Raw genomic sequence first — 19,621 nt, 5'->3', positions numbered from 1 at the left:
CAGCAGCTCCAATCAACGCAGCCTGAGAACAATGGTGATGATGAAAATAACAGCACTGCCGCAACACTTACCCCATGCCAGGCACTGTCCTAAATGCTTTAGAACAGTGTTCAAAATTGAACAAGTGTTCGGTCACTTGTTCAATCCTCACAACAGCCCTAGGAAGTAGCCTTATTCTTATCCCCATTCTATAGATAGGGAAACTGAGGCACAGAGAGGTCAACGAAGGGGCCCAAATGGATTCAGCTAGTGTGGGTTGAGCTGAGATGTGTACCCAGGCTGCCAGGCTGGGCTCCCCATTTTCACTCTCTCTCCTTTCTTAACCAGCTCAGATTTTGTGGGCTACTGTTATACTTCCTCCTTTGCAAACAGCCCCATCTCTGGTCTCCCCTGGGCTTTGGGCTCACTCTGGGCAGCACTCCAGGCTGGGCAAGTTCAACTCTGCTTCTTCCACACCTGCCTGGAGCAGCTGCACACAGCCCTGGTCACTGATGCACTTTCCACCAACTACAAGCCCTAGGGACCCTGGTGCCAGCCTGCAGTCCCGCTGCACCCCTGCAGCCCTCTCACTCTCTTCCACTCCCACAGATGACCATACCACACTTTCCCTCTCCGCAAACCCCATCCCTCCTTCCCACCCTCACATGAGGCTGATGACGGTGCCTCTTGTTTCTCTGAGAAAATACAAGGAATTAGTAAGGCATTTTCTCCTCTCCCTGCAGGAGACTGAACCTGTGGCACCCGCCACCAAATCTGCCGGCCTATTCACAGTCCCTGCCATTTCTCTCGTTAAGATGAACTCTCCGCCTCAGGAACGAGATGGCGGTTCCCTGGAGGCTGAGTGCCGTTTGCGGTGCCCAAGGAGGCCGAGCTCTGTTGCTGCGAACTCCAGTGGTCAGACCTGCTCATATCTCAGCATTTCTTCAGGACCGACCTATCCCAGAATGGTGTGGAGTGCAGCACATACACTTGTCACCGAGCCACCATTCTGGCTCCAAGGCTGCATCTCTCCACTGGACTAGCGAGAGGGTTGTCAGTGTTTTGCTCCCGGGTCTGCTTCCGGCTGCTTATTTGAATCCTTGCTCTGCGACGGACTATTCCCTGGCTGCAGCCCTCACTCTTCATGGTCACTGGGGCCTTGGACAAGTTGTTACTGATTATGTTCATGGGGATGCCTCGCAGAAAGCTGCCAAGGCAGGGCTTTTGGCATTTTCAGCTTTAACCTTTGCTGGGCTTTGCTATTTCAACTATCACGATGTGGGCATCTGCAAAGCTGTTGCCATGCTGTGGAAGCTCTGACCTTTTTGACTTCCTACTTTGAAGAATTGATGTATGCCTCTTTGCCTCTGCTTTGTCATGCCATTAAGCTCACAATAAGGAAGAAATAACAGATAAGCCCATTGGTGGACAGCCTTCTTCTCTTAATCACAAGATTATTTTCAGAATTTAATCTTTGAGGAAAAGGTTTGAGAGGAATTATATCTAAGTTGTGAGACTGAGTTCTGTATTCTGGTGAGTTAATGGGGTTGCCTCCCAGCTTCTTATAAGACTCACAATATAACTAAACATGATATATCAGCTTTTGCCTTTTAATTTCTCAATCTCTTAAAGAGAATCCAGCTTTATTATGATTAGTACATGATCAAATTTCCATATTTGCCTTGGGAATAATGGACAAAGGGAAATACTCTTAATTCATGAATAAAAACTTTGCAGAAAATTAGACAGTGTTTAATTTTCAAAAACTTCCCTCTCTAGTCAGTAGATACCACCTACTGATGGTTACATATACTAGGGAAATTTTAAAATTAGGAAATGCTGCTATCTCATATTATAAATTTCTAAATCCTAGGAAGAAACGCTTGGAGTGCTTCTGAAGATACAGAAGTTCCATTTAAGGGCAAGTTTCCCCAGAGACATATCAAAATATTATCCATTGTAAACTGAGATTTAATTCTCAAATGTATTCTACTTGTTCTAAAACAATCTGTCCACAAATATAAAACTATAAGTAATAAATTGTTATTTCCGCACAATGGGAATCTCTAATGTGAAAATGTATTCTATGAAAATAATTTTTTTAAATAAAATGTTGTATAAAAAAAAAAAAAAGATGAACTGTCCCTGCATCGGCCTAAAGGTATCAGTGCTCAAAATCCCACTCCTGCTTTCCAACTCAAAGGCTTGACTCTTGCAGTTCATCTCTCTTCTGTATCATCAGATTTTTCCTCTCTATCGGATTATTGCCCTCCTGCTTCTCCTCCATTTCTCTGTTCCCCTTTATAGCAAAGTCCTTGGCAGAGCTGCCCCTGCATGCTGTCTCCACTTTCTCATCTCCTGCTCTTGAATCAGTCAAGCCAGGCTGTTGCCTTCATCCTCCTCTACAACCATGCATGCCAAGGTCTCCTGGCCAAATCCAATGGCTACTTCCCAGCCCTCATCCGACTTGACCTCTCAGCAGCATTCAGCCCACCTGGGGCCCTCTCTTTCCTTGCCTTCCAGGACCTCACGCTCTCCTGGGCTTCCTCCTGCCTCTCCAAGCACAATTCTGTCTCCTTTGCTGGCTCTTACACATGTCCCCCCTCTAAAATGCAGGGTGTTCTAGGACTCAGTCCTCAGACTTCTTCCCATCTCTCTTTATCCTCACTCCTGAGTGATCTCCTTGGGTCTCATGGCTTTAAACACCATCTGTATTGTAACAACTCCCAAATTTATATCCCTAGCCCTAACCTTTCCACTAAGCTTCAGACTTGTACATCTCCATTCAGTGTCTCCACTGGGATGTTTCATACACATCTCTACCCCCCCTCCCCCAACCTTAACCCTAACGCTACCACATTCGACACTGAACTCTGGGTTTTCCCTCCCAGATCTATCCCACCCCAACATTCCCCATCTCAGTAAATGGCACCAGCAGCCGCTGAGTTGTGCCAGATGAGAACCTTGAAGTCATCTTGACCCTCTCCCACCCCACGTGCAGTCTATCAGCAAATCCTGTCAATTCTGCTATTAAAATACAGTCAGGATCCAACCACTTCCCATCACTCTCACAGCTATTGTCCTAGTCTGAGTCTGGATGATGGCAATCACTGCCGCTCTGGTCTCCACCTGCTTCCTCTCTTGCCCCTTCAGTCTTTTCTGAACCCAGAAGCCAGAGTATCTTAAAACATAAGTCAGATCATGGCTCTCCTCTGCCCAACACTCCCTAGTTCTCCCTGTATTTCTCAGAGTAAAATCCAAAGTCCTTTGGGACACTGAGGCACAGTAAAGGGGCTTCATGCTTTTTTTTGTAAACATGCATCATCTCATGTGATTAATTCAATTACTCCCTCAAAACCCTATGTGGTAGTACTGCTACCCTCATATTACAGATGAAGAAACTAAAGCTCTAAGAGGTTAAATTGCCCAGAGTCACACAGGGATTTATGGCAGAGCTGGGATGCAAACCCCAGCCTTTGACTCCAAGTCCAGTGCACTTTCTTCTAAGCCAGGCTGGAACTGTGGGTTCTCGCTTGGGTTCTGCCACTATCTTGCTATGTGATCTTGGGCAGTCCCTTCCCCTCTCCAGGCATCAGCTTTCTCACCTATGAGATGGGAAGGTTGGCTATGTCCTCACTCAGGGTCAGGGTTACAGCAGAGGATCTGGGAGAGCCATTTGGATTGGCCTTACCTTCACAGCTGCCTTCAAATTTAGACTTTCGACAGGCTCTCCCAATGAGAGGACATATGCAGTTACTGACACGCACTGACTGAAAGAAGATGCTGGCTGTACAAACTTGCTGGACCCACTGCTGGTGAGGCTCTGAGAATTAATTACTTTTATATAACCATAATTATATCATGAATAGCACAATCCTACAGGATTATACTGTAGTAGTTAAAGGCATTGGTTTGTTGTGTTTAAACATTTGCACAGACCACATTTTTGTAAACTCATTTGGATATCTATCTATCTATCAATCTTTTCTTTTCTTTTTTCTTTATTTTAAATTTGAGATGAAGTCTTGCTCTTGTCCCCCAGGCTGCAGTGCAATGGCGCGATCTCGGTTCACTGCAACCTCCACCTCTCGGGTTCAAGCGATTCTCTTGCCTCAGCCTCCTGAGTAGCTGGGATTACAGGCGCCTGCCACCATGCCCAGCTAAATTTTGTATTTTTAGTAGAGATGAGGTTCCCCCATGTTGACCAGGCTGGTCTTGAACTCCTGACCTCAGGTGATCTGCCCTCCTTGGCCTCCCAAAGTGCTGGGATTACAGGTGTGAGCCACTGTACCCAGCCTGTCTGTCTGTCTGTCTGTCTGTCTATCTATCTATCTGTCTATCCACCTACCTATTTATTTAGAGATGAGGTCTTGCTATGTTGCCCAGCTCGGTCCCTAACTCCTGGGCTCAAACAATCCTTCCAACTCACACCTCAGCCTCCTGAGTAACTGAGACTACAGGTGCATGCCACCACAACTGGATAATTTAGAAAAAATTACTTTTTAGAGATGAGGATCTTGCTATGATGCCCAGGCTGGTCTCAAACTCCTGGCCTCAAGTGATCTTCCCTCCTCAACCTCCCAAGTAGCTGGGATTACAGGTTGTCTTTATTTTTCAAAACCCTGGAAACCCCACCAAATGGAGCTTTTGGCCCTTTTCTCCCAGGTCCCTCCTCCCAGCACCATGACTCACGTTGAAGATATTACTGATGACCATCCTCAGGTTGCCTAAAGCTGTCACCTCCACCAGCACCATCACCACCAACTGCGCCAAGTTGACCTTCCCCAAGACAGCATCCACTGAGATCAGCACCGACAAAGCACTCATGGTGGCCAGCCGAATACTGGGGGAGAGAGGGAGAGCCAGGACGACTGAGAAGGAAGGATGCCTCTCACTCATTCATTCATTCATTCATTCATTCATTCATTCTTTCAACAAACACTGTTGGGCACCTACTTTCTGTGGGAATAGAAGACAAGATTTCTACCCACCTGGGCGCTGATGCTGCAGAGTGGAGTGACCATCTCTTCTCCCGTTAAGGTGGCCTCTGCACCCTGAGCCATGTGGTCTGGCAGATGACTTAACCACTCTGTGCCTCAGTGCCTTCATCTATGAGGCATTGATCTACACACACTCATCTGACTGAGGGTGATCGGGGTGACTGTTCCCTCAGGGGATCTGATAACTGGGATTCTGCCCAGTCTTCTTTTCTGCTGCCATCATTCGGATGCTCAACAGAGGGCACTCTTCCCCCGCAGGCCTGCCCACATCCAGTCACCCCATCCCCATCTGGGGCCACTGTCCCTTCTCTCCGTCTCCGTGGCAGTGGAAAGAAACTGGATTTGGAATCAGGACAAGCCCGGCTTCCAGTCCCAGCCTTGCCACTGGAGTGGCTATTTCATCTCACTGAGCCTATTTCTCCTTCTGCAAATTAAGAATGATGATCAAACGTATCCCATGTTGGTGTCCTGGGGATGTGAAGGAGTATTCTTCCTATCGGTGTGTCTAGCACCAAGACTGGCACAAAGAACCAACTTCTGAAAAGACGCTAGCCTTATTAACGCTATTATGATTCCTTCCTTCCTTTGACCAATGAGCATGCTCAGGAGTAGAAAATTATTTTGGTCTTGAAGATACTTATGATCCAAAAAAAAAAAAAATGTACTTATGATCTAGACAGGCTACACCATGAGCCTGTCAACTAAGAATATCTGTGATATCACAAGGCTAGTGGGGTTCATTGGAAGGAGAGGGTGATGCTGACTGGACTTATCAGGGAGGACTTCCTGGAGGAAGTGGTACTGAGCTGGACAATCCATGGACATCCAGTCTCCCCTGAGCAGCTTGCTCTGAGACTCCCTCCTCCCTCTGGGAGTTAATGATGATGATGCTACAACCACAGCAACAGTGATGATAATGATTTATTATAAGAGCATTTTGTAAAACAGGCTTGTAACAGCATCACCTCTTTTAAATTTTAACCCTATAAGGCTGGGTGCAGTGGCTCATGCCTGTACTCCCAGCACTTTGGGAGGCCAAGGCAGGTGGATCACTTGAGGCCAGGGGTTCAAGAGTGGCCTGGCCAACATGGTGAAACTCTGTCTCAACTAAAAATACAAAAATTACCCGGGCATGGTGGTGCATGCTTGTAATCCCAGCCACTCTCGAGGCTGAGGCATGGCAGTCGCTTGAACCCGGGAGGCAGAGGTTTCAGTGGGCCGAGACTGCACCACTGCACTCCAGCCTGGGCAACAGAGTAAGACTGCCTCACACACACACAAAAAAAATTCACTCTCTGTAAAATCGTGCTAGCTCACCATTCAGTATCCCATTTTACAGAGGGTCACGTAGAGGATTAAAATGGACTTTTTGGAAACAGTCATGCCAGCTGATCACAAATGTGAGGTTCAAATCCAGCTGGCCTAGATCCAAAGCCTGTGCTCTGAAGTCTGGACTCAGCTTCCCCAGTGTTTGCTGCAGACTATGCCCGCTTAAGCCTCAAGGACTTTAGGGGAAGGTCAGAAAAGGGCAAGGGCATGGGGAAGGAGTCTTACAGGGACCAGGAATTTAGAATAAGGGGTTACTCAATGTTCCATCGTGCCTGGACAGGTTATTCCTTTTAAGTGGGTGTTCATTTCATTGACAAAGGCTTAACTCAGGAGCGTGTGTGCCGGCGGCGGTATTTCATTCCTCAAGGGCCAGTTTGTGCTGAGGAGGTGCTAAGACAGTGATGTGCAGTGGTTAGGAGCGTGCTCTCAGGTCTAGGCTGCCTGGGCTGGAATCTTGACTCAGACACTTTCTGGCTGTGTGATCCTGGGCAATTTATTTAATCACTCTGTGCCTTGGTGCCTCCATTTATAAGGTGGACCCAATGCCTCTGGAGCCACGGTAAGGGCAAAGTGAGTTGATATACGTCAAGCACAATAAAGGAGTTGGTTATTGCTATTATCTTCTAGGGAGAGTCCTGCAGATTTCAAAATACATTAAAAATATCACACTTTTAAGGCCAGGAATGGTGGCTCACACCTGTAATCTTCGCACTTTGGGAGGCTGAGGTGGGAGGATTGCTTAAGGCCTGGAGTTTGAGACCAGCCTGGGCAACATAGTGAGACTCCATCTCTACAAAAAGCAAAAAAAAAAAAAGCTAGGTGTGGTGGTGTGTGCCTGTGGTCTCAGCTACTCAGGAGGCTGTAATTCCAGTACTTTTCAGAGCCGAGGTGGGCAGATCACTTGAGCCCAGGAGTTTGAGACCAGCCTGAGCAACACAGTGAGGTCCTGTCTCTGCAGAAAATAGAAAAATCAGCTAGGCGTGGTGGTGTGCACCCACAGTCCCAGCTACTTGGGAGGCTGAGGCAGGAGGATCACCTGAACCCAGTGAGGTTGAGGCTGAGTGAGCCATGAACATGCCACTTCACTCCAGCCTGGACAACAGAGTGAGACCCTGTCTCAAAAACAGTTTTAGGCTGGACACAGTGGCTCACGCCTGTAATCCCAGTACTTTGGGAGGCCTAGGCAGGTGGATCACTTGAGGTCGGGAGTTCCAGACCAACCTGACCCACCTGGTGAAACCCCTTGTCTACTAAAAATACAAAAATTAGCAGGGCATGGTAGCAGGCGCCTGTAAAAAAATTTAACTCAGGAGGCTGAGGTGGGAGGATCACTTGAGCCCAGGAGGCACAGGCTGCAATGAGCTATGATTGTACCACTGCACTCCAGACTGGGCAACAGAGCAAGACCCTGTCTCTAAAAAAATAAATAAAATTTTAAAACATCCCACTTCAGAGTTCCGTTTATTTTCATTTTTGCTCCAATAGCCATTTGCTAAGTTATCAGTATGTGAGGAAAACAAACAACAACGTTGAATAAGATAGGCCCCTCCCCTGAAGGGACTCAAAACAGAACCAAATCAGTCCCAAGTCAAGTGGCACAAGCTGGAGTGTTGCCAAGGGAGAGTACCCCGTCCCCAGGGGCAGGCCTGGGCACCACCCATCAGCACAGCCCTGACGGGAACCGGTCAGGAAGGAGCCAGTTTCAGCAGGGGTCACCCCTAGGGGGATCCAAGCAGTCAGGGGTGGGGCAGGGGAGTTCACTCAGGCTGCGAGTGACTTCTCTCCCTTCTCGTCTTTCTAGATTGAGTCAAGAACAAACAGGTCCCTGTGGACATCAGATGAGGGGAGCAGCCCTAGACTGTGGGGCAGGAGGCTGAAGGCTGGTGTGACCTTAAGCTAAGGCAGCAACACCAAACCAGGGCCACCACCATTTGAAATCCCCCAGGGTGCCCTTTGTCACTTCCCAGGTGGACACAGTGTGTGTATGCGTGCATGTGTGCGTGTGTGTATTGAATTCTGGTGGGAATTAACTCATAGACTGTTTTTGTTTTGTTTTGTTTTTGAGACAGAGCCTCACTCTGTCGCCCAGGCTACAGTGCAATGGTGCGATCTCGGCTCACTATAGCCTCCGCCTCCCGGGTTCAAGTGATTCGCCTGCCTCAGCCTCCCAAGTAGCTGGGATTACAGGTGCCTGCCGCCACACCCAGCTAATTTTTGTGTTTTTAGTAGAGACAGGATTTCACCATGTTGCTCAGGTTGGTCTCGGACTCCTGACCTCAGGTAATCCACCTGCTAGGCCTCCTAAAGTACTAGGATTACAGGCATGAACCACCGCGCCTGGCCTAAAACTGTTTTTGTTTTTTTTTTTTGAGACGGAGTCTCGCTCTGTCACCCAGGCTGGAGTGCAGTGGCACCATCTCGGTTCACTGCAAACTCCGCCTCCCGGGTTCACGCCATTCTCCTGCCTCAGCCTCCCGAGTGGCTGGGACTACAGGCGCCCACCACCACGCCCGGCTAATTTTTTGTATTTTTAGTAGAGACAGGGTTTCTCCGAGTTAGCCAGGATGGTCTCGATCTCCTGACCTCATGATCCCCCCGCCTTGGCCTCCCAAAGTGCTGGGATTACAGGCATGAACCACTGCGCCCGGCCCCTAAAACTGTTTTTTGAGACAGGGTCTCACTCTGTTGTCCAGGCTGGAGTGAAGTGGCACGATCATGGCTCACTCAGCCTCAACCTCACTGGGTTCAGGTGATCCTCCTGCCTCAGCCTCCCAAGTAGCTGGGACTGTGGGTGCACACCACCACGCCTAGCTGATTTTTCTATTTTCTGCAGAGACAGGATCTCACTGTGTTAGTCAGGCTGGTCTTAAACTTCTGGGCTCAAGTGATCTGCCCACCTCGGTTCCCAAAAGTACTGGGATTACAGGTGTGAACCACCATGCCCAGCCTCTAAACCTTTTAAAAAAGAAAAATATATAAAGTTTTTTCCCTCCAGGGCCAATCGGGAGCTGGCTAGACTGTGTTTCATGTTCTGAGCACTCTGGAGCATGTGGAAAAGGTTATAATAAAAAGTTGGAGCCATCTCCACCACTTAGCTGTGTGGCCCTAGGCAAGTGCCTTGCCCTCTCTGAGCTTCCACTTCCTTACCTGTATACCAGGTTAGATCCCTACCCGGAAGAGTTAAACAAAATAATATTTGTGGAGTGCTCAGCACAGTTCCTGGCTCATAGAGAAATGTTTAACAGCAGTGCCCAGAGGTTTAGCAGGGTCTTAGAAGGGGAGGCTGGAATGGCCTTGAGAGGTCCCTAAGATGCCTAGGATGACGTTTACCATCATCTGGGCAGCACAGGGATTCAGAGGTTTGAACAAAACAAAACAATGTTTCAGGAAAAAATTTAGCCTACTTCCTCCTATTAAGTGCCAATGCCCTTTTAAAACGTGTATAGCTTGATGTGTAATCATCACCCAGGTGAACATAGAGAACATTTTCTGCACCCCATGCGGTTATTTTGTGTTCCTTCCTAATCAATATCCACCTCCTGCCCAGGTAACAACTATTCTGACTTCTGGCACCATACATTAGTTGTGATGGTTCTTAGCATTTCACACAAATGCATGTAAACAAAGCACAGGTAATTTAATGAAAATAAAGGCATGGCTATTTATTGTCTAGCAGCATTAGGGGGCTGAAAGTCCTTTCTTTTCAAGAGAATGTCTCTCAGGCTGGACGCGGTGGCTCATGTCTGTAATCCCAGCACTTTGGGAGGCCGAGGCGGGCGGATCACCTGAGGTCAGGAGTTTGAGACTAGCCTGACCAACACGGAGAAACCCTATCTCTACTAAAAATACAAAATCAGCCAGGCGCGGTGGCACATGCCTGTAATCCCAGCTACTCAGGCGGCTGAGGCAGGAGAATCGCTTGAACCCAGAAGGCTGAGGTTGTGGTGTGCCGAGATAGCGCCATTGCACTCCAGCCTGGGCAACAAAAGTGAAACTCCGTCTCAAAAAAAAAAAAAAAAATAGAATGTCTCTCTAGGTGTGGCATGTCTATTTCTCTCTGTCTAACGTGTTTCCTTCTTACGTTTTCCATAAACTTATATTGATTATGTAACTTTACAAAATCATAATCGACAATAACAGGAAAGAAAGGATGCAGGAGGAATGTAGGCCTGGATTCCTTGTGATACACGGAGTAGGGCTGTCCAGTAAAATACAGGATGCCCAGTTAATTTGAATTTTAAACAATGAATAATCTTTTAGTATAAGGATGTCCTAAATATTGCACAGCACTGGTGCTAGACAGAGAGGGGGCAATATCCCAGATCTTCTGGAACCTGTCCTTTCGGGGTCCATTCCCTCTATGACCCAGAAGTGATCCAGCCACCATCCCAATACCTGAACAGTGTGATGACCACCTTCCCAGAAGGGAACTGGCTCAGGAAGCCGTCCAGCAGGATTGCCCACTGCACACCAAGCGCCAGCATGAAGAGGTTGAAGGCCACACTGCTCCAGCTGTGTCTCCGGAAACTCGAGGTGAGGAAGCCCAAGCCAATGGCCGCCATCACGGTCAGATCTTGGCCAACTGCTCGGTGGGGAGATGGCGAGAAGGACGAGGGGGAAGCAGACGAGATTTAGGGTGGTATGAAATTAGAGTCTTACTAAATGGCAGCTGGAAGGGGCATGCAAGATCGTTTACAAGTATTTGGTCAAGTTACTTTGCCTCTTTGAGCCTCAATGTTCTCAACTGAATAATGGGGATAACATAACATGCCGTGTGGGGATAAGATAAGGATTAGAGGAGCTAAAGCTAATTAAGCACTTAGGGCAGGGCCTGGCCCATAATGAGTGCTCAGTAAATGTGGCAATTATTCTATTATTAAACCTAATAATAAGAACAAGTGTAAAGCACACGTGCTTGACGCACATGGACACTCAGTAAAGGTCATTGCTGCTGTTATTGCATATGAGGGCCAACCCCCTGGCTGGGCACATGAGAAAATGAAGCCACAGAAGCCAAGTGACTTGTCCCAGGACACACAGAAAAGAGAGGGCAGAGATAGGCCCAGCGCTCTTGTTGTTGGGAACCACATAATCTTCACAGCAAACCTCCCTCCCTTTGCCGCCTGCTGCGAGGGACCTGGTGAGCTGGCTGGCAGAAAACATCAGGGCCACCTGGGTAGCCCTCACCTTTCCCGGTCTCAGACCCTGAGCAGAGGCTGCTGTGGCAGGTGAGTGGAAGAGACGCACCTGAGGGCAGGGAGGGGCCCAGCAAAGCGGAGGGTGAGCACTTTGGTTTAATTCCAGTTTTGAAAAAGGGTTAGCAGCTTGAGCTCCAGAACGAGACAAACTTGGGTTCAAATCAGGACTCTGGCACCCTCTAACTGTGTGATCTTGATCTAGTTACTTAACATCTCTGAGCTTTATAACAGCCTACATTTCCTAAGCGTTTACCATGTGCCTACGCTGTTTTAATCACTTTACATAGACTATCTTGTTTCGTTCTCACAACCACACTTTGACGTGGGTGCTGTTACTGTCACCATTTTACAGATATGAAAACCAAGGCACAGAGGCGTTACGTAACTTGCCCCGGTGGGTAGAGCTAAGATTTTTTTTTTTAATATCGAGATAGAGTTTCACTCGTCACCCAGGCTGGAGTACAGTGGCAAGATCTTGGCTCACTGCAACCTCTGCCTCCTGGGTTCAAGTGATTCTCCTGCCTCAGCCTCCCAAGTAGCTGGGATTACAGGTGCCTGCCACCGTGCCCGGCTAATTTTTGTATTTTTAATAGAGAAGGGGTTTCGCTATGTTGGCCAAGCTGGTCTCGAACTCCTGACCTCAAGTGATCTGCCCACCTCGGTTTCCCAAAGTGATGGGATTACAGACATGAGCCACAGGGCCTGGCCTACAGCCAAGATTTACACCTAGATAATCTGCTGGAGCCTGTGCCTTAGACTACCACACCATCTGCCCTCCCTCTTCTTGTTCTTGTCTGTTAAATAGGGGAAATGATCATACTCCTTCATTAGGTTGCCAGAATCAAATGGTATATGTAATGCACATAATTGCTCCAAACTCTAAAAGCTATTTTATCAATAATCACCAACTGTTTTCGCACATGAATAAATGACTGGAGAGAGAGAGATCTTGAAGAATTTTTTTTCCGTCATTAATATTGTCTCTAAGTTTGGGAGGTGTTTTACTTTTTTAGTTTTAGTGTTTAAATTTTCTGCAACCAGCATGTAGACAATTTTTTTTTTTCGAGACAGAGTCTCTCTGTTGCCCAGGTTGGAGTGCAGTGGTGCGATCTCGGCTCGCTGCAACCTCCACCTCCCGGGTTCAAGTGATTCTTGTGCTTCAGCCTCCTGTGCTTCAGTGGGAACCACAGGCGCGCGCCACCACGCCTGGCTAATTTTTGGCCAAGCTGGTCTCGAACTCCTGACCTCATGTAATCCACCCACCTCCGTCTCCCAAAGTGCTGGGATTACAGGCATGAGCCATCGTGCCCAGCCTAGACAATGTTTTTCAAAAAGGTGGAAGGGGAAGCATAGGTTTTGAGTTCACATGGCTCTGTTCGATCCCAGCTCTATCATTTCCTATTAGATTAAACCTCACTAAATTGCCACCAGTTGACTCTTTTGGACATATAAAGATACCAATTTAGGAGGATGAGGTGGGCAGATCATGAAGTCAGCAGTTCGAGACTAGCCTGGCCAACATGGTGAAACCCCGTCTCTACTAAAATTACAAAAAAATTAGCTGGATGTGGTGGTGGGCACCTGTAATCCCAGCTACTCGGGAGGCAGGCAGGAGAATCGCTTGAACCCGGGAGGCAGAGGTTGCAGTGAGCTGAGACCGCACCACTGCACTCCAGCCTGGGCGACACAGTGAGACTCTGTCTCAAAATAAATAAATAAATAAAATGAAATATCAATTTATGTGTTTCCACTTCATAGCCCTGTGGTCTTGTAAGTTGCTTACTTTCCTTATCAGCTGAATAAGGGTAATTAGACCCACCTGAGAGGTTTCTGGGAAATCCAAAGGAAATAATGTTTAGTACAGTGACTGGCACATGGAGAACGCTCAATAAATAGTGACTGTTCATCAACATCATCATGACAATCACAGCAATAGGAACTCACCTGCCACTGGTCTCCAGCCCTGGCCTTGATAACAATGAGAAGCTCTCATTACTGGAACTCTCCAAAGTCTCAGAAAAAGTCTTTGATTTATAAAGTACATTTAAATTCACTTCCATTGAAACATACACATACCCAGGGTCTGCCAGAGAGGACAAGGGAGGACACTGACATTTCCAAATCAACCTGACACCACCAGGATATAGGAGGCCCCCAAGGACCTCCATGGGACCTGGGGATTTGGGGCGTGGGTGAGAAGTGGGCATTAGGAAGGATTCAACTCTTTGCACTTCTTCTGACAACAAGGAGGGAGGTGCAGGGAATGTTTCTATCTCCTGCTTGCATCCTTAGGAATGGGGGTGTGTGGCCAGGGGACATTTTCTACAGGGGTTCCTCTTGGGATTACTCAAATTCCCTCAGGAGCCAAGCAGGAAATATGTATATGAAGGTGCAGTGCACATGCGGGAGCAGTGAGGCTTGTGTTCAGTTGGAGACTGCATGCCCCACTTCAGATATGCAAATCCAACCTTTTATTAAACACGATTGTTAAAGTGCATCTGCCATTTTGTAGCAATGCTATATGCATAGGGCCCAGACTTATTGAAGATTCCATGAGTAGAGCAATTCTTCCATTTTCCTCTCATTTTACAGAAGGGGACCAGAGAGAGCCTGTGAGGGGCGCTCATGACCGGGCCCAGAGGAGAATTGTACATTGTAAGGAAGACCTTCAGGAAAAGTTTATGAAAGCTCCACAACTTGGAGAAAGAAAATCTAACCTGGTAGTTCAGCAGTGAACTAACTACCAGGCCCCAAACATGCCGGCAGCAGAGCCCAGCTCTGAATGCCTGGAACTATGTCCTTGCACAGGCTAGGCTGTCTCTAGCTCTTTCTTCTCTCACCTCACTAAGTGATCTTAGGCAAGTCCATTACCCTCTTTAGGCCTCAGTTTCCCTGTCTGTAACACATAGGAGTTGGACTTGATACTCTCTAAGGCTTTTACAGCTCTGGAATATTCCAAAGAAGTTAGTGGAAGATGGGGAGAGGAGAGTTGCCTGGATAAGGGCAGAGTTGGGGCCCTAAAGATTAGGAAGTCAGACCAGGTATGGTGGCTCACACCTGTAATCCCAGCACAATCCCAGCACTTTGGGAGGCCAAGGAGGGAGGATTGCTTGAGCTGAGGAGTTCAAGACCAGCCTAGGCAACATAGCAAGACCTTGTCTCTACAAAAAATACAAAATTACTTGGGCGTGGTGGCGAGTGCCTGTAGTCCCAGCTACTCAGGAGGGTGAGGTAGGAGGATGGCTTGTGCCTAGAAGGTTAAGGCTGCAGTGAGCTGCGGTCACACCACTACACTCCAGCAGCCTGGGTGACAGAGGGAGACCCTGTTTACAAAAAAAAAAAAAAAAAAAAGGCCAGGCACAGTGGCTTATGTCTGTAATCCTAGCACTTTGGGAGGCTGAGGTGGGCAGATCACTTGAAGTCAGGAGTTTGAGACCAGCCTGGCCAACATGGTGAAACCCCGTCTCTACTAAAAATACAAAAATTAGCCTGGCATGGTGGCGCATGCCTGTAATCCCAGCTACTCAGGAGGCTGAGGCAGGAGAATCGCTTGAACCCAGAAGGCTGAGGTTGCAGTGAGCCGAGATCGCACCACTGTACTCCAGCCTGGATGACAGAGTGAGACTGCAGCTCAAAAAAAAAAAAAAAGAGATGAGGAAGTCAGAGGATCCTGGGTGGGGGCTTTATTGGGCACAGCTGCTGCCCCTGATCCCGATTCCCTGATTCCAGGTATACGCGCTCAGGGCCTTCCTCCCCAAGGCTCTACACTGTCCCTGAGAGAGGAATTGTGCCTCAGCCAACAAGATGAAATTAGGGCAGCAGTTTCCATGAGCTGTTGACAGAGCTCATGCACCCCAAACTGGTCAGGAAATAACATTTGATTTCAGGCTTCTCCTCCCCCTGCCCCCTCATCCTCCCACTTCTCCTGGGCTCCAGGCCCATTTCCACCCATCCATTATCTGGGCTCCCGCTTCAGGGCTGGGTCCCAGCTTGGAGCATCCTCACTGGTATCAGCCTCCACCTCTCACAGTCTGCTCTGCACTCACATCAGCTGCTGGTTTGATAAGCTGATGGGCTCTAAGGTGTTCAGGGGTGATAAGAAGTGGATGTGCTACCCGGGCGCCCATGCCTGGACCCAGAGGGGAATTGTACATTCTACGGAAAGCCTTCAGGAAAAGTTTATGAAAGCCTCATGACTTGCAGAAAGAAGTCTAACCTGGTAGTTCAGCAGCGAGAGATAAGGCAATACTCACCATTGTTGTAACAGCAGGCACACAGATAGACAGTACCCCACGTTCCAGGCACTGTTCTACGTGCCTTACAGACTTAGCCCACAACAGCCTCAGGTAGGAGGTACGATTTATTATCCCCATTTTAGAGATGGGGAAAGGGAGGCACAGAGAGGTGCTATAACTAGTCCAAGTCACAGAGCTAGTAAATGGTAGCAGGAGGATTCAAACCCTACCTACCTAGGTTTAACCATTATGCCATCCTGCCTTTCTATACAGCATATATAGCGTAACGGTGATGAACAGTGTGGGTCTCTCAATCAGGTTGTCAGTGTTCAGAGCCTGGCTCTTCCTCTGTGTCCCAGCTTCCTGAGCTGTAAAATTGAGATGAAACAATGCCAGCTGCTCAGAGGATTGCCATGAGCATTGAGCTCGCTGGCTCATGCAAGTCACTTCGCCCAGCATTGGGTACGTAGTGAGTGTTAGTAACTGTTACCCCGTGCCGGCCGCTGATTAGCGGTGTGACTTTAGGCAAGACTGCTCTCCCCCAGGCCTGTTGCAAAGAGACCACTTGCAAAGAGTTCGTTTGGATAACAGCACTTTGGCCTTCTGAGTCCATCCCCTTGGGCAGCTGCCTCCTCCGGTCAGCTGCCTCCGTGATTCTGGATCTGCGCCCCCTCCCACTCTTGCCCCTCCTTCTGGCCTGCAGAAACTTCAGCACCAACAGCTCTGAAGTCACACCCAGCTTCACTCTCCCAGGCTCTAGGGTTGACCTCCACCCTGTGCTCCCACTGCTGCCTGGAAAGACCACTGCAGCCTCAGGAGGCCGCCACCTCCTCGCCCACAGCCTCTACTCTACCGGCGACTCTCACCCCTCCAGCAGCCTGGGAAGAAAAACAGAGATTTCCCAAAGGGGCAGACCAAAGCTGCAGTGTGGAAGGTGCCAGGGTTTGGAGTGTTTACATGTCACTGGGAAAACTCCTCTGTCTTCTAGTAGCCCCTCTCTCTGCCTTTGAGGAATATGGGGTGGGGATGGGGGACTGAGTGGTATCCACAGCACAGGACCCAGGATAGTCTCCTAGTTTGGAAGCCTTAGGGAAGCTCTGCCTGGTAGGCGATTGTTACAGTAATGGCCCCCAGTGAATCACCAACTGCCAAACACGTGAATGAGGTCATCTGAGGCCATCCCACCCCAAACTGCAGATGCATGAATGACCCTGGGTGAAACTAACAGAAGAACTGCCCAGCTGAACCCAGCCCAGTTGTTGCACCACAGAATCATGATCATGAGTAAATTAAAAGGTTACTATTTTAAGCCACTAAGTTTGGGGTGGCTGTTATGCAGCAATAGGTAATTGATACTCTCTGCTTCCCCTAAGCATATCATAGGCCCCTTAACTCCAAGCCCAGAATGAACATATCATTGTTCATTCATCCTCACAACCTGTCCCTCCCCTTCTGTCTCTCATCTCAGGAACTGGCACCTCTCTATGCCAAATCATACATCTGCAGCCAGCCTTAACTCCCCACTCTTTTCATCAAGTACAGCTGACTTATCTCCTAAATATCTCTAGAATCTCCTCCACTGCCCCTGCCCATCTGGTCTCATCACAGGTCATCCAGACCAGTAGTCATTACAGCAAAGAACACACACCCCAGAAAATGCTCAATACAATCACCAGGGTAGCTGGAAGAAAACAAGCAATTCTAGTTTTATTTATTTTATTTAAAAAATTAAGAAATTAAAGCTTTTGGGCCAGGCGCGGTGGCTCACGCCTGTAATCCCAGCACTTTGGGAGGCCAAGGCGGGTGCATCACCTGAGGTTGGGAGTTCGAGACCAGCCTCACCAACATGGAGAAACCCCATCTCTACTAAAAATACAAAATTAGCCGGGCGTGGTGGCGCATGCCTGTAATCCCAGCTACTCGGGAGGCTGAGGCAGGAGAATTACTTGAACCTGGGAGGTGGAGGTTGCGGTGAGCCAAGATCGCACCACTGCACTCCCCTGGGCAATAAGAGCAAAACTCTGTCTCAAAAAAAAAGCTTTTGATAATAAAAGCTAATACTCTTTATGTGTGTCAATTCATTTATCCTTTCAACAACTTAATGAAACAAGTACTATCATCCTCTGACAGAAGTAGAAACAGAGGCAGAAAGAGGTTGACTAATCTGCCCAAGGTCTCTAAGATACAGAGGCAAGATTTGAATCAGTCTAGCTCCAGGAATTCTCGAACTTTCATGCACAGAAGAATCACCAAGAGGGCTTGTGAAAACACAGACTGCTGGGCCCCAGGCCCAGAGCTTCTGATCAGTAGGTCTGGCCTAGGGCCTGAGAATCTGCATTTCTACTAAATTTCCAGGAGATGCTGAGGCAGCAGGTCTGGGGACCACACTTTGAGAAACATGGATCTAGGCTATTCTATCTCTAAAGGTACTTTGTGAAGTTTTCAATTCTGCAAATATTTAATATTCAGATTCACCCAGAAGCCACCCCTCACTTGCTCAGGATGTCATACAGCCTTGAGTCTCCTAGCTTTGGAAGGTGCCCTAAGGGAATATTGGTCCAATGAGAAGGATTTGATATGCATTTCTCTATATTCTTCATATTGCAACTAATGGCAGGGTTTTATGTTTCATTTATTTTTATTTTCATTTTTTTTTAGACGGAGTCTCGCTCTGTTGCCCAGGCTGGAGTGCAGTGGCGTAATCTCAGCTCACTGAAAGCTCCGCCTCCTGGGTTCACGCCATTCTCCTGCCTCAGCCTCCCAAGTAGCTGGGACTACAGGCACCCGCCACCACACCCGGCTAATTTTTTTGTATTTTTGGTAGAGATGGGGTTTCATCGTGTTAGCCAGGATGGTCTCCATCTCCAGACCTCGTGATCTGCCTGCTTTGGCCTCCCAAAGTGCTGGGATTACAGGCGTGAGCCACTACACCCAGCCTTTATGTTTTATTTATATTTTTAAATTTGTTATTACAGCCTCGCTTCACCTCAAATATTTTTATTTTTTTTGAGACAGGGTCTTGCTCTGTCGCCCATGCTGGAGTGAAGTGGTACAATCCCGTCCCACTGCAGCCTCAAGCTCCCAGGCTCAAGCAAGCCTCTCACCTCAGCCTACTGAGTAGCTGGGACTATAGGCATGTGCCACCACACTGGGTTAAATTTTAAAGTTTTTTTTTTTTTTTTTTTTTTTAGAGATGGGGGGGGGTCTCCCTATGTTTCCTAGGCTCGTCTTGAACTCCTTGGTTTAAGCGATCCTCCCCACTTGGCCTCCCTAAATGCTCAGCCAGGGTGTTTTTTTTTTTTTTTAATTAACTATTACAGAACTTTTAAAGCATATACGAAAACAGAGAGAACAGCACGATGACCCTACGTGCCCATCTCCAAACTCTGATGATTGTCACATGAGACCAATCTTGTTTCTATAATCCTTCTGTACTTTTTCTTTTTTCTGGCATAAAAGCAAACCCCAGATATCATGCCATTTCAATGTGCCTCTCTAACAGATGGAGACTTAAAAAACAAAAACAAAAACAACCCACCATGCTTTTATCATACCTAACAAAATTAACAATAATCCTTGTATATCGTAAGATATTCATGCTATATTCAGATTTCCTGATTGTCTCAAAATGTCTTTTTAGAATTGGCAGGTTTGAATAATCTATTATAGTTTACCAGGACTGAATTCAATTAAGTGGATTGACAGATTAAGTTACCTAAGTTTAACTCAACAAACTTTCACAAAATGAAGTAATGGCTTAACCAACTCGTGCAGAAAAACACAGATTGGAAGCATAGAAATAATGGCAGTCAAGTGAACAAAAGGGAAAAGGCAGAGTGAAACTTCTCCTCGTACAAGCTGTCAGTCACATTCGAGATTT

General features: G+C 47.7%; 2 protein-coding genes and 1 pseudogene across 13 annotated transcripts in view; 2 read left to right on the top strand and 1 right to left on the bottom strand.

Moving 5' to 3' along the window:
• The window catches only part of RSRP1 (arginine and serine rich protein 1), a 96,006-nt gene that overhangs the window by 42,792 nt on the left and 33,593 nt on the right, over nucleotides 1–19,621 (top strand). The window lies entirely within an intron of this gene.
• The window catches only part of RHD (Rh blood group D antigen), a 57,960-nt gene that overhangs the window by 34,983 nt on the left and 3,356 nt on the right, over nucleotides 1–19,621 (bottom strand). For all 9 annotated transcript variants that reach the window (NM_001282872.1, NM_001282870.1, NM_001282868.1 and 6 more), the window contains 2 exon segments: nucleotides 4,672–4,822; nucleotides 10,704–10,890. In NM_001282872.1, coding sequence (NP_001269801.1) covers nucleotides 4,672–4,822; nucleotides 10,704–10,890 — 338 coding nt within the window.
• On the top strand, nucleotides 794–2,105 carry SDHDP6 (succinate dehydrogenase complex subunit D pseudogene 6; annotated as a pseudogene).

The sequence above is a fragment of the Homo sapiens genome, chromosome 1, assembly GCF_000001405.40.
Source record: "Homo sapiens chromosome 1, GRCh38.p14 Primary Assembly".
Classification (NCBI taxonomy): Eukaryota; Metazoa; Chordata; class Mammalia; order Primates; family Hominidae; genus Homo; species Homo sapiens.
This window is presented reverse-complemented; position numbering and strand designations above follow the sequence as displayed.